Source organism: Homo sapiens, chromosome 10, assembly GCF_000001405.40.
Source record: "Homo sapiens chromosome 10, GRCh38.p14 Primary Assembly".
NCBI lineage: Eukaryota > Metazoa > Chordata > Mammalia > Primates > Hominidae > Homo > Homo sapiens.
The window spans coordinates 27179222-27192915 of record NC_000010.11 but is presented as its reverse complement, the minus strand read 5'-3'; the positions used below and the strand labels follow the sequence as shown (position 1 = coordinate 27192915).

At 42.4% G+C, this 13694-nt stretch overlaps 2 protein-coding genes across 36 annotated transcripts in view; one reads left to right on the top strand and one right to left on the bottom strand.

Annotated features, from left to right (window-relative positions):
• The window catches only part of ACBD5 (acyl-CoA binding domain containing 5), a 59274-nt gene extending 49196 nt beyond the window's left edge, over positions 1–10078 (top strand). For all 13 annotated transcript variants that reach the window (XM_017016893.3, XM_017016885.3, XM_017016890.3 and 10 more), the window contains one exon: positions 8601–10078. In XM_017016893.3, the coding sequence (XP_016872382.2) occupies positions 8601–8640 (40 nt within the window). In that variant the 3' untranslated portion in view covers positions 8641–10078. The remainder of the gene's footprint in view (positions 1–8600) is intronic.
• Positions 4963–13694, bottom strand: part of MASTL (microtubule associated serine/threonine kinase like) — a 33475-nt gene continuing 24743 nt past the window's right edge. For 11 of the 23 annotated variants that reach the window (NR_135469.2, XM_017016853.3, XM_047425916.1 and 8 more), the window contains 3 exons: positions 11850–11963; positions 11335–11436; positions 4963–6537 (listed from right to left, as the gene is read on the bottom strand). Coding sequence is in view for 22 of the 23 variants with exons in the window: in XM_017016853.3 (XP_016872342.1) it covers positions 6380–6537; positions 11335–11436; positions 11850–11963 (374 nt within the window). In the remaining variant the exon portion in view is untranslated. Of the gene's footprint in view, positions 6538–10372; positions 11289–11334; positions 11437–11849; positions 11964–13694 lie in introns of those variants that run through there. The other 12 variants (XM_047425919.1, XM_047425920.1, XM_005252631.5 and 9 more) reach the window with 5 other exon arrangements.

Here is a 13694-nt window from a genome sequence, read left to right as displayed (position 1 = left end):
CTCACTGCAACCTCCATCTCCTGGGTTCAAGCAATTCTCTGCCTCAGCTTCCTGAGTAGCTGGGATTACAGGCGCCCGCCACCACGCCCGGCTAATTTTTGTATTTTTAGTACAGACAGGGTGTCACCATATTGGCCAGGCTGGTCTTGAACTCCTGACCTCGTGATCCACCCGCCTCGGCCTCCCAAAGTGCTGGGATTACTGCTGTGAGCCACTGTGCCAAGCCTGAAGAGAACTTTTTATACCTACATAAAATCAGGCAAGGGAGTATCAGTTATTTTTTAAATTTTACTGGTCACCCTTTCCCCTCTCTTCTGTCCCCTCCCCTCTTCCCTTGGAGCGCTCTTCCTCCTCCACGAGAATCCAGTGATTCTGGTGAGGCTGCTAAATGGAACACCCAGCTATGCCCATTGCTGCCCCATCGTGACTCACAGTAATGGACATGTGACTCAGCCTGGTCAGCTTATATCCCATTCTCCTGACCACAGTGACATCACAGTGATGGGCATAGAACCAGCAGTCAGTTACTCTCTGGGATTTATTTCATGGAACTAGGAGAGAGAGAGTGTTTAAGCCACCCCATCTCCAGCCCCCAGTAGACTTTTTTTTTCATTATTATAAATTTTTTTTTTCACAATCCCTACTTTGGATGTAGACTTAAAAAAAAAGTGTCAAGGAATGTATCCATTTCTTGTAGGTTTTCCAGTTTTTTGGCATATATTTATTCCCAGTAGTCTCTGATGATTCTTCATATTTCTGCGGTATCAGTTGTCCTGTCTCCTTTTCCATCTTTGATTTTATTTACTTGGGTATTCCTTTTTCTTAGTCTGGCTAAAGGTTTGTTGATTTTGTTTTCAAAGTAAACCAAGTTCATTTTTAAAAATCTTTTGTATTTTGGGGAGTTTCAGTTTCATTTGTTTCTGCTGTATCTTATTATTTCTTCTACTAATTTTGGGTTTGTTTTTGCTTTCCTAGTTAAGATGCGTTGTTAGGTTATTTATAGACTTTATTGTTATTATTTTTTTTTGATTCAGAGTTTCCCTCTCGTCACCCAGGCTGGAGTGCAGAGGTGCAATCTCTGCTCACTGCAACCTCTGCCTCCCGGGTTCAAGTGATTCCCCTTGCCTCAGCCTCCTGAGTAGCTGGGATCATTAGCACCCACCACCACACACCCAGCTAATTTTTTGTATTTTTGGTAGAGATGGGGTTTCACCATGTTGGCCAGGCTGGTCTTAAACTTCTGACCTCAGGTGACCTGCCTGCCTCGATCTCCCAAAGTGTTAGGCTTACAGGCGTGAGCCACCGCATCTGGCCATAGACTTTTTTAGAACTGTTTTAGGTTTACAACAATATCAAGTGGAAAGTAGAGCTCCCATATTCTACCCTCCTCTCCCCCCGCCCCACCTGCACAACCTCTTCCACCGTCAACATCTGGTGGAGTGGTACATTTGTTTCATCTGATGAACCAACATGGACATATCATTACCATGGGGCTCACTCTTAGTGTACATCCTATGAGTTTTGACAAATTTAAAATATGTATCCACCATTATATCATACAGAGTAGTTTCACTGCCCTAAAAAATCCTCTGTGCTCCACCTTGTCATCCTTCCCTCCTAACTTCTGGCAACCACAGATCCTTTTACTGTCTCTATAGTTGTGCCTTTTCTACAGTGTCGTATATTTGGAATCATACGGTGTGTCGCCTTGTCAGACTGGCTTCTTCCAGTTAGTAATATGCACTTAAGATTCATCTGTGTCTTTTCATTGTAGTTCATTTCTTCTTAGCGCTGAATAATAGCCCATTATATAGATGTGCCTCTGTTTATTCATTCACCTGTTGAAGGAAGAGTGTAAAAGAATTTGCAGACATACCATTTTTATTTGGAGGTGTCCAACTGATTTCTTGAATTCTTTATTTGGGTGTCTCACAGACATCTCAAACTTAGTATGTCTACCCATCCTGTCCCTCATTCCAGTTCAGGGTGCAGCACCACAATCCACCCAACTGCTCAAGCCAGAAGTTAGGTGTCAAATGTGGCTCTTCCATTCTCTCACCTGTCTCATCCCATATATCAGTAAAGTCCTGTTGCTCCTACCTCTAAAATATGTCTTGAATCCAGGTGGGCTGGTGCAGAAGCCTTTTATTCAGTCTCCTTCCTTCAAATGTTGTCCCGTACAATACACTTTCCACACAGTTAAAAGAATGACTCATCCATGGTTGGCTTGGTATTAATTGAAAGACCTGGTGTAAACAGTAAATATATTTGTACTATATTCTGGACTCTCAGCATTTTTATAAATGGCTAAAAATAAGACAGTTCTTTGTAGCAAATAGAGGAATTAGACCCGAATGTCCTTCAAGATGTTTTGGAGCATAATAGTAAGGCTTTATATAGTTACCACTTCCCGAACCCAAAATTAAAGTACATATTCCAGGAGGCAGTAGGGTACTTAGGGTTCAAATAATTATCATTTTATTAAACACCTTTTATGTTTGCTATGTACTTCATCTTACTTAATTCTAACATAGGTGGGCCAAGATAAACAGGACATTCTTCAAACATAATTTCTGGATTTGTTTAACATTTAATGGGGGTGGGACAAAACATTTTTAAATAATTTTTTTTGAGGCAGAGTCTCATTCTGTCACCCAGGCTGGAGTGCAATGGCGCCATTTTGGCTCACTGTAACCTCCACCTCCCAGGTTCAAGCAATTCTCCAGCTTCAGCCTCCCGAGCAGCTGGGATTACTGGCGCGCACCATCATGCCTGGCTAATTTTTATATTTTTAGTAGAGACGGGGTTTTACCATGTTGGCCAGGTTGGTCTCGAACTCCTGACCTCCTGTGATCCACTCGTCTCAGCCTCCCAAAGTGCTGAGATTACAGGCGTAAGCCACCATGCCCAGCCTAAAAAACAATTATTATTTTATTTTTTTAGATAAGTGTTTACTGATATTTTTATTTTGGAGCTCCAAAGGAAAACAAGTCACATCTATTATTTTGCATTTTTCATGTAAGAATAAAACATTTTCCTTTAACAGATACCAACTTATTTTTTCTTTTTACTCTTTTTCTAAATTCATCCAATAAACATTATGCCGTTGTGAAAACAAAAGTTTATTTATATATATATATATATATTTTTATTATACTTTAAGTTCTAGGGTACATGTGCACAACGTGCAGGTTTGTTACATATGTATACATGTGCCATGTTGGTGTGCTGCACCCATTAACTCGTCATTTACATTAGGTATATCTCCTAATGCTATCCCTCCCCCCCACCCCACAACAGGCCCCAGTGTGTGATGTTCCCCTTCCTATGTCCATGTGTTCTCATTGTTCAATTCCCACCTATGAGTGAGAACATGCGGTGTTTGGTTTTTTATCCTTGCGATAGTTTGCTGAGAATGACGGTTTTTAAAAAATTTAGATAGAGACAGGGTCTTGCTATGTTGGCCAGGGTAGTCTCTAACTCCTGGCCTCAAGCAATCATCCCACCTTGGCTGTCCAAAGTGCTGGAAATAAAGGCGTGAGCCACTATGCCCAGCCACAAATTATTTTTTATTAATACAAACTGTATATAGCTGGCCGGGTGGCTCACGCCTGTAATCCCAGCATTTTGGGAGGCTGAGGCGGGTGGATCACGAAGTCCGGAGTTTGAGACCAGCCTGGCCAACAAAGAACAATACATTTGTAGAGAAATGACAGGACAAAGGAAAGTGGTTTTAGGCTTCCAAGGACTGGAACCTTTGGGAAGGCAAACACTGTATGTGGGAGGAAACTAATTGAATAAGGTTTCTTTGCCAATTCCTCTGGTGCTGTCCCTGGTAGATAAGACTCTAGAATTGTCTCCAGCAAAGGAGAAGTTATATCCTGCCTTTGGGCAGAAAGGCAGGGGGATGGCGAGAGCTTTCCTCAGTTTGCTGCTTCTTAACTGCCTTTAGCTCAAAAATATTTTTATGTCAAAGAGGCATTTTAGGATGATATGTTCTGATTTCCTTCATAGCAAAAGATGAGTGGATTTCTATTGGTGGCCGTTGGTGTTTTTTAAAGACGTGCATGCACACATATACATCAGCTGTCAAAACCATCCCCTTTTTCCCATTGTTCTTTCCTCTTAGGTTTTTCCCTAGCAAGTGTCTGAATCTACATCTTGACAGGTATAAATTTAGATAATAAGTCACCTGTTCCCAATAAATACCATTACAGCATGCCTTACCTGTGGCTGAATTTCAAGTGACTATAGCTTCACATGCTAGGTCTGTTAGTAAACAGTGTAACTTTCCACTCAAGGCCATTGTCTTGTGCATTGGGAATATGCTCAGAGAACATTTCCCCGATTATTCAGTAATGTTTCAAGTCCCTGTTAAGGTTAATATCCTGGGTAGCAACTAAATTGGCTTGTTCCTCAATCTACTCTGTTCATTCCAACTCTCCAAATTAATCACTATTAATCCCCACTATACAGTGAGTCATCAATAGCTCAGTTTAACCTGCCAGAGGCCTTTTATTGTGGCAGAGCAGTGATTTCAACAATTTGTGTTTGATTCCCAAACTTTTTTTCTTTCTACTACTGGCAAATACCATAAAAGGATAATAGATAATTCTATGCTTTTGCCTAATTTAAGGGAAAGATGTAATTCAAAGTTTTGAACAACTGTATTTTGAACATTTTACTAGAAGTGACCATTAAATCTAAGTAGTTATTACTAAAACAAGCTCAGTAAAACCATTAACCCATGGATTCAGTTATATAGCACTAATTATAATGGTGTATCTTTCACTGTAACCATTTTAAATTTGTACATTTTGTCAACTACATTGCAACAGGGCTGTTGATTGGGATGGTAATGGAAAGTAAAAACACTAAACCCGATGTGCAAAAGGAACAAGTTTTTTTTCCCCCGGAAATGGGGTCTCGCTTTGTTGAAAAGAATGATGTTGACAGATAATGTACTTGTGATAGTTATATTTATTAAGCAAAAGAAAATTATGTTTTGTTTTTTAAGGACCAATCTGTTTCTGATAATGTTGCATGTTTTAAATAAATGACAATAAGATGTAAAGCATCACATTTTCTATTAAAATTGAACAAGCTATTCAAATTGCTACATTATATCACACCTAATTGTTCCAGTAGTATTTTTTTTTTTTTTGAGACTGAGTCTCATTCTGTTGCCCAGGCTGAAATGCAGTGATGTGATCTCAGCTCACTGCAATCTCCACCTCCTGGGTTCAAGCGATTCTCATGCCTCAGCCTCCCAAGTAGCTGGGACTACAGGTGTGCGTCACCATACCTGGCTAATTTTTCTATTTTTAGTAGAGACCAGGTTTTGCCATGTTGGCCAGGCTGGTCTCAAACTCCAGGCCTCAAGCGACTTGCCTGCCTCAGCCTCCCAAAGTGCCGGGATTACAGGCATGAGCCATCGCACCCGTCCTCCAGTACCATTTTAAACAAATACATATTGTGGACTACGCACCAATAGAAATTAAGGTGGCAAAACCGTATCATTAGTAAAGTAAGTGAAAGCCTTAGTCTTTTTGTTTATTCCTTATTCCCCAAAGGAGTTACTAAGTGAAGGAATTTTCCAGCTGCCTTTATTTTTTTGAGACGGAGTCTTGTTCTGTTGCCCAGGCTGGAGTGCAGTGGCACGATCTTGGCTCACCACAACCTCCTCCTCCTGGGTTCCAGCGATTCTCCTGCCTCAGCCTCCAGAGTAGCTGGGACTACAGGCGCCCACCAACATGCCCGGCTAATTTGTGTATTTACAGTAGAGATGGGGTTTCATTATGTTGGCCAGGATGGTCTTGAACTCCTGACCTCAAGATCAGCCTGCCTCGGCCTCCCACAGTGCTGGGATTACATGCGTGAGCCACTGCGCCCGGCCTTCCAGCTGCATTTCTGAGGTCACAAGTATGGCCTTAAATGATTGCCCTCAAGAACACAGCTTTTGAAGGTAATCATATGCAAGTAAATTACAATCAAATGGAACTGTATGATTATTTTATTATTTTAATGCTAAACTGAACAGTGAACTGAAATCAGAGGAGAAAGAAAATCAAGCTAGTGGCTCACTCTCAATAGTGTCCTCTAATTTTATTGATGCTTCAGTTTTCATAAAGTGCAATAAACAAAATAAATAAATGAAAAAAGCTTTGAAGATTTATATACAGTTTTGAGGTTAAGATAAATTACTGACTATATTCCTTTCAGCCTTTTAACTCTGTGAAAGCTGTAACGTACATTAAAAGCACATTGAACTAGGTTAAATAATGATCTTTCCCCCTTAGATCAATCTAGTATTAAGGAGTATATAATTATGCAAGTTCATTCTATAACACAAGGCTAGACTAAAAGGAAAATTTTTGTGCTACAGACTAAATCCAGATACAGTCAGGTGCTGAGCAGTATTCCTGGCTTCAAAATAGGAGGTATCTGTTTCATCATCTGGCTGGGGGATGAAAGGCATAGTCTGATGCTGCAGATTTTCCCAGTCCACATCACTGAAGAGAGGATGACGTTTTAGCTCTTAGGAAAAATATAAAACAAAACAGTATGATATCATTACCTAAGTAAGTACTGCTTTACAGGAATTATTATAAAAAGAGAATGTCTCACATATAACTTACCTTACTTTATTATGTCAGTTTCACAGACATTTGTTTAATGTCTGTTAGGCCACATACTTCACAAAGGTCTACATGGGCCATTTTGAATATCACTTGGCATATGACAGGTGCCTGGTTTGTATTTGTTTAATGACAGAATGAATGATTTGCCTTAACTTAGAAGCCTATCTTTCTCACAGCTTTTTTTTTGAGACGAGGTCTCGCTCCGTTGCCCAGGCTGAAGTGCAGTGGCGCGATCTCTGCTCACTGCAACCGCCGCCTCCCGGGTTCAAGCGATTCTCCTACCTCAGCCTCCCGAGTAGCTGGGATTACAGGTGTGTGCCACCACACCAGGCTAATTTTGTATTTTTAGTAGAGACGGGGTTTCGCCATGTTGGGCAGGTTGGTCTCGAACTCCTGACCTCAGGTGATCTGCCCACCTTGGCCTTCCAAAGTGCTGGGATTACAGGTGTGAGTCACCATGCCCGGCACTCACATCTTTTTTTTTTTTTGAAATGGAGTCTCTCTCCAGTGCCCAATCTGGAGTGTAGTGGTGCAATCTTGGCTCACTGCAACCTCCATCTCCCAGGTTGAGTGGTTCTCGTGCCTCAGCCTCCCAAGTAGCTGGGACTACAGGTGAGTGCTACCATGCCTGGCTAATTTTTTTTTTTTTTTTTTTTGTCTGTCACCTAGGCTGGAGTGCAATGGCACAATCTCGGCTCACTGCAAACTCTGCCTCCCGGGTTCAAGCGATTCTCCCACCTCATCCTCCTGAGTAGCTGGGATTACAGATGTGTACCACCAAGCCTGGCTAATTTTTGTATTTTTAGTAGAGATGGGGTTTCACCATGTTGGCCAGGCTGGTCTCGAACTCCCGACCCCAGGGGATCCACCCGCCTCAGCCTCCCAAAGTGCTGGGATTATAGGTGTGAGCCACCGCGCCCACCCTGCCTGCATCTTGTTAAAGAATCCCTGACTCAGGGGAAGAGAGTGTGGCCTACTTTCTGCTCCTTGATAAACCTTCCATGCCATTGATCTTCCATGATGAATGCTCCAGTTTTGACTCTAAGGCCTTGCCACCTGTTTCTATCACCACGCTCCTTAGCAGTATCTATTGCCCTAGACAGCTTTAGCATGAAGCTCACCCCCTTCTCCCTTTCTTCCCTGTGCTCCATCCTTATCCTTCATGGTGACTTCAAGAATAGATACTGATGACAGTTCTGACACGTTCTCTTCATGGTTCTTTGACTTCCTTGATTTCACTGACTTGCATCTCTACAACATATTGACTTCTAGCTTATGGCTACATTGGAAGCTCTATATCACTGAGCTGCTCTGCTTACAAGATTTCAAAGCCTTCCTCACCTCTTTACTGCCATTTCATTACCTGTCATTGTTCCTATTTCCTTCTACCTAGTAAAATAAAAGTATGCTCTTTTGGGCAGAGTAATGGCTCATGCCTGTAATCCCAGCACTTTGGGAGGCTGAGGTGGGCGGATTACTTGAGGTCAGGAGTTCGAGACCAGCCTGGCCAACATGGTGAAACCCCGTCTCTACTAAAAATACAAAAATTAGCCAGGTGTGGTGGGATGCAGCTGCAGTCCCAGCTATTTGGGAGGCTGAGGCAGGAGAGTCACTTGAACCTGGGAGGCTGAGGCTGCAGTGAGCCGAGATCATGCCACTGCACTCCAGCCTGGGCAACAGAACGAGATTCCGTCTCAAAAAAAAAAAAAAAAAAAAAAAATCCTTCTTATATGTGATAGTGTTTTTTATAATGGCAATCTGACCAATATGTTGCATTCAGACACTCACATCTATTCTGAAATAATACTACAAGGACTCAGTATGTCCAAATCCAATGTACAGCATCAGAAGTTGAAACGTGTGTGTGTTTATATGTTTTAAGTAGTATAATCTAAGTCTGAAGTGCCTTGAAAAAGCTAGAGCTGACTTTCCAAATGTCTGCTCCCTCACTTTACACAGGTTTCTGCTCAAATGCCCCTCTTCACAGAGGTCCTCCTGACCACACTGTCTAAAAAGAAGTCTCGTGCCATCACTTCATATCCTCTCACCCTGCTTTATTTTTCTTCCTAGTATTTACCACTACATGACATTATGTTGTGTCTGTAACTGTTCACTGTCTCTCTTTCCACTAGAATGTAAGTTCCACGAGGACAGGGATCTGAGTCTAGATCATCCCTAGGGTATTCCCAGGGCCTGAAGCAATATCACCTAGCTCCTAGAAGGCACTCTATAGGATTGGTTAAATCAGTGAGTAAACAAACTGGGCCAGGCGTGGTGGCTCATGCCTGTAATCCCAGTACTTAGGGAGGCCAAGGTGGGCGGATGGCTTGAGCCCAGGAGTTCGAGACCAGCCTGGGCAACACAGCAAAACCCCATCTCTACTAAAAATACAAAAATTAGCTGGGTGTGGTAGTGTGCACCAGTAGTACCAGCTACTTGGGAGGCTGAGGTGGAAGAATTGCTTGAGCCCAGAAAGTTGCAGTGAGCCGAGATTGTGCTACTACATTCCAGCCTGGGCGACAGACCCAGATCCTGTCTCAAAAAAATCCCAAAACCAAAAAAAGAAAGAAATTATTACAGGGAACACCTAGAAGCTGATGCAAATGACACATTTCTGAAGCTCATTTTCCTGAATACATTCTACTTGATAAAGAAATGCATTTTGGGACGTAATGCTTTTCTCTATATTACCATACCTCGTTACAAAAGGAATTTTAAAATCCCAGCACTTTGGGAGGCCGAGGCAGGAGGATCACAAGGTCAAGAGATCGAGACCATCCTGGCCAACATGGTGAAACCCCATCTCTACTAAAAAATACAAAAATTAGCTGGGCGTGGTGGCACATGCCTGTAGTCCCAGCTACTTGGGGGGCTGAGGCAGGAGAATCACTTGAACCTGGGAGGCGGAGGTTGCAGTGAGCCGAGATCACACCACTGCATGCACTGCAGCCTGGTGACAGAGCAAGTCTCTGTCTCAACAACAACAACAACAACAACAACAACAAAAGAATTTTAAGGCAGCTGCTAATGAGATTTACTAGTTTCCAAATTAGGGCTTAATATACTCCTGCATTGAGAAAACTACTGAGTGGTATATAATATACCAAGTTTGTCTTGAGCCAACCTGGGATCCAGTACATTTATCAATAAATAATAGTATCAAAAATGAAGCAATAAGAAATTACAGAACATCTCTCTCGCAAGATTAGGGAAAATAAATTTGTTTTTAAAAATGACAGAACAGAGGGTTTCATAAAAAAAGATTTCCTGTATTTCCTTAACTTTATCAGGCTTTGAAAAACCCAAGACACTAACAAGATTGTTTTAGGACAGGCAAGGTGGCTCACACCTGTAATTCAGCATTTTGGGGAGGCTGAGGTGGGAGGATCCTTTGAGCCCAGGAGTTCAAGACCAGCCTAAGCAACATAGTGAGACACTGTCTTTAAATAAATAAATAGCAATAATAACGTATGTTAAAAAAAAAAAAAAGAGGTAAGATTGTTTTAGATACTTGAGATAAATAATTTTTTTTGAGCCAGAGTCTCACTTTGTTTCCCAGGCTGAAATGCAGTGGCGTGAACATGGCTCGCTGTAGCCTCGACCTCCTGGGCTCAAGTAATCTTCCTGCCTAAGCCCCCAAGTAGCTGGAACTACAGGTGCGCACTGCCTTGCTTGGCTATTTTTTGTATTTTTTGTAGAGACAGTTTCACCATGTTGCCCAGGCTGGACACAAACCCCTGAGCTCAAACGATTGCCAGCTGCAGCCTCCCAAAGTGCTTGGAGTATAGGCATGAGCTACCACACCCACCGATTAATAAAATCTAATGCATGAATACAGTATTGCCATTTGACCACACTAAATTTTTTTTGCCTCTTCTACCATGTGACACATTGAATTTTCATGTAGAATAAGGACCAATATATCAATGCATACCTAGAGGGGAGAAATAAATCGAATTATCTTTGTACCAATTTAGCAGTCAGATTATCTGTAGTATTATATTGGAACTTGATTTTTTTTTTTTTTTGAGACAGAGTCTCTGTCGCCCAGGCTGGAGTGCAGTGGTGTGATCTCTGGTCACTGCAATGTCCGCCTCCCGGGTTGAAGCGATTCTCCTGCCTCAGCCTCCAGAGTAGCTGGGACTACAGGTGCACGCCACCACGCTGGGCCTAATTTTTGTATTTTTTTTTTTTTTTTTTGAGAGGGAGTCTCGCTCTGTTGCCCAGGCTAGATTGCAGTGGCACAATCTTGGCTCACTGCAAGCTCTGCCTCCCAGGTTCATGCCATTCTCCTGCCTCAGCCTCCCAAGTCGCTGGGACTACAGGCACCCGCCACTATGCCTGCCTACTTTTTTGTATTTTTAGTAGGGACAGAGTTTCACCATGTTAAGCCAGGATGGTCTCGATCTCCTGATCTCGTGATCCGCCTGCCTCGGCCTACCAGAGTGCTTGGATTACAGGCCTGAGCCACCACACCCGGCCAATTTTTGTATTTTTTAGTAGAGATGGGCTTTCGCCATATCGGACAGGCTGGTCTTGAACTCCTGACCTTGTGATCAGCCCGCCTCAGCCTCCCAAAGTGCTGGGATTACAGGCGTGAGCCACCACGCCCAGCCAGAACTTGCTATTTTTATAAATATTCACCATCTGCAAAAAATCAATGGTAAAACAATGTATTAACACAAAACCATACCTTTCATTCCAGCTCTCTTTGTATCATCAATGGTTAAAAGTATTTCTACTGCACTTTGAGCATTATCAGATAACTTTTCTTCACCTTCTGGCCAAGGGATATCTAAAATTATACATATACAAATAAACTTGTTTATTACTGCTCAAAATAATAGTATCCAGAGATAAATGACTACTTTTTTTTGTTTTTTGAGATGGAGTTTCACTCTTGTCACCCAGGCTGGAGTGCAAAAGCGTGATCTCAGCTCACTGCAACCTCCACCTCCCAGGTTCAAGCGATTCTCCTGCTTCAGCCTCCCGAGTAGCTGGGATTACAGGCGCCCGTCAACATGCCTGGCTAATTTTTTGTATTTTTTTTTTAGTAGAGATGGGGTTTTACCATGTTGGCCAGGCTGGTCTCGAACTCCTGACCTCAGGCGATCCACCCGCCTTGGCCTCCCAAAGTGCTGGGATTACAGGCATGGGCCACTATGCCCAGCCAGTAAATGACTATCTTAATAGGAGAAAAAGAATCACCTCTTTTCAGAATATTCTGGAATACTTGTTGTGGTGTTTCATCATTGAAAGGGGGAATTCCTGTTAGAAATTCAAACAAGCAAACTCCAAGTGCCCACCAGTCTACCGCAGGACCTGTAATCGAAGAGGAAACAGCTAAAGTTGCAAGCATTCTCTACAAATATTTGATGAACAGAAATATTAATTGTGGAGTCCTAATTAGGGAAAACGAGTTAGGCTGGTAGGACCAGGGGGAAGCAAAAAGAAAAAGCAGATAAGCTGCAAGTCTGCCTTTCCTCATGGTCCAGGACGCACAGCCCTCCTGTACAAATAACTCACAATTGTCCTGTGCCCACGTATCACCAGACCCTTGATTGATACAAAAATGCAAGGTAGAGCTGGGCGCGGTGGCTTATGCCTGTAATCCTGGCACTTTGGGTGGCTGGGGAGGGTGGATTACCTGAGGTCAGGAGTTCAAGACCAGCCCAGCCAACATGGTGAAACCCTGTCTGTACTAAAAATACAAAAATTGGCCAGGCGTGGTGGCACATGCCTATAATCCCAGCTACTGGGGAGACTAAGGCAGGAGAATCGCTTGAACCTGGGAGGCAGAGGTTGCAGTGAGCCGAGATCACGCCACTGCACTCCAGCCTGGGCGACAGAGCAAGACTCTGTCTCAAAAAAAAAGAAAAGAAAAGAAAAGAAAAGAAAAATGCGAGTTAGCTCACTGCAACCTTGGCATTATCAGCGCAGCATGCGGCCTTCTCCGGGACAAGCACCGCCCTGTAACATCTCTAGCAAGCCCTTGTCGCCTTGTGATCAGCTCCCCTCTTGGTGACTTGCTCGTTACAACCTTACAATGTATTTTCCTACTTCGTCTAATAAATTTGCCTTTCTTTACCTACAACTGTCTTCATCAATTCCTTTATTGCCCACGCCATCAGCCCCAGATAGTCACTATCTGCAACATTAGTATGTGAACATTTTGGTATAATCAAAAGTGCAAAAACCCACATTGTTTTCACTTGGGCAATGTGACAACTGCTTTCCTCTTTATTTTCCAAGAAGTTTAGATTACCAATTACCACAGCTGGTTAAAGAGAAGATAAAGCCATTTTTTTCATTTATTAATAATTTCTGATATTCTGGATATGTTATGTATCTTAAATCCTAAAATTATTCTCTAAAATAGGCAGACTACTACTCAATTTCATATCAGGAAATGTAAACATTTACATGATTATTCTGTATCCCACACAAGGTATGAGATAAGGCAGCAACATTTATAGTAATTGGAGGAAAGCCTGGTAACTAGGGAAGGCCTTAATTACAGAGTATTTTAATGTGGCTTTATTCCTTTTAGGAACAGAGAGGGACAAATTAGTTTAACAAAGAATATTCACTTAAACTATGGTTTCAAGAGGTAAGTAGGAGATGTCTTAAGATATAGGTAAAACTGATTTCTAAATAAAATATTCATTGGATGCAAAATTTATATACAAAGTTTTTTTTCTTTGTTTGTTTGTTTTTTGAGACGGACTCTCACTCTGTCACCCAGACTGGAGTGCAGTGGTGCAATCTCTGCTCACTGCAAGCTCTGCCTCCTGGGTTCACGCCATTCTCCTGCCTCAGCCTCCCAAGTAGCTGGGACTACAGGCGCCTGCCACCATGCCCAGATAATTTTTTTCTGTATTTTTAGTAGAGACAGGGTTTCACTGTGTTAGCCAGGATGGTCTCGATCTCCTGACCTTGCGATCCACCTGCCTCAGTCTCCCAAAGTGCTTGGATTACAGGCGTGAGCCACTGCACCTGGCCACAAAGATGTTTTTAACGATTATTTTAAATATGATCTTATAAACTATAAAC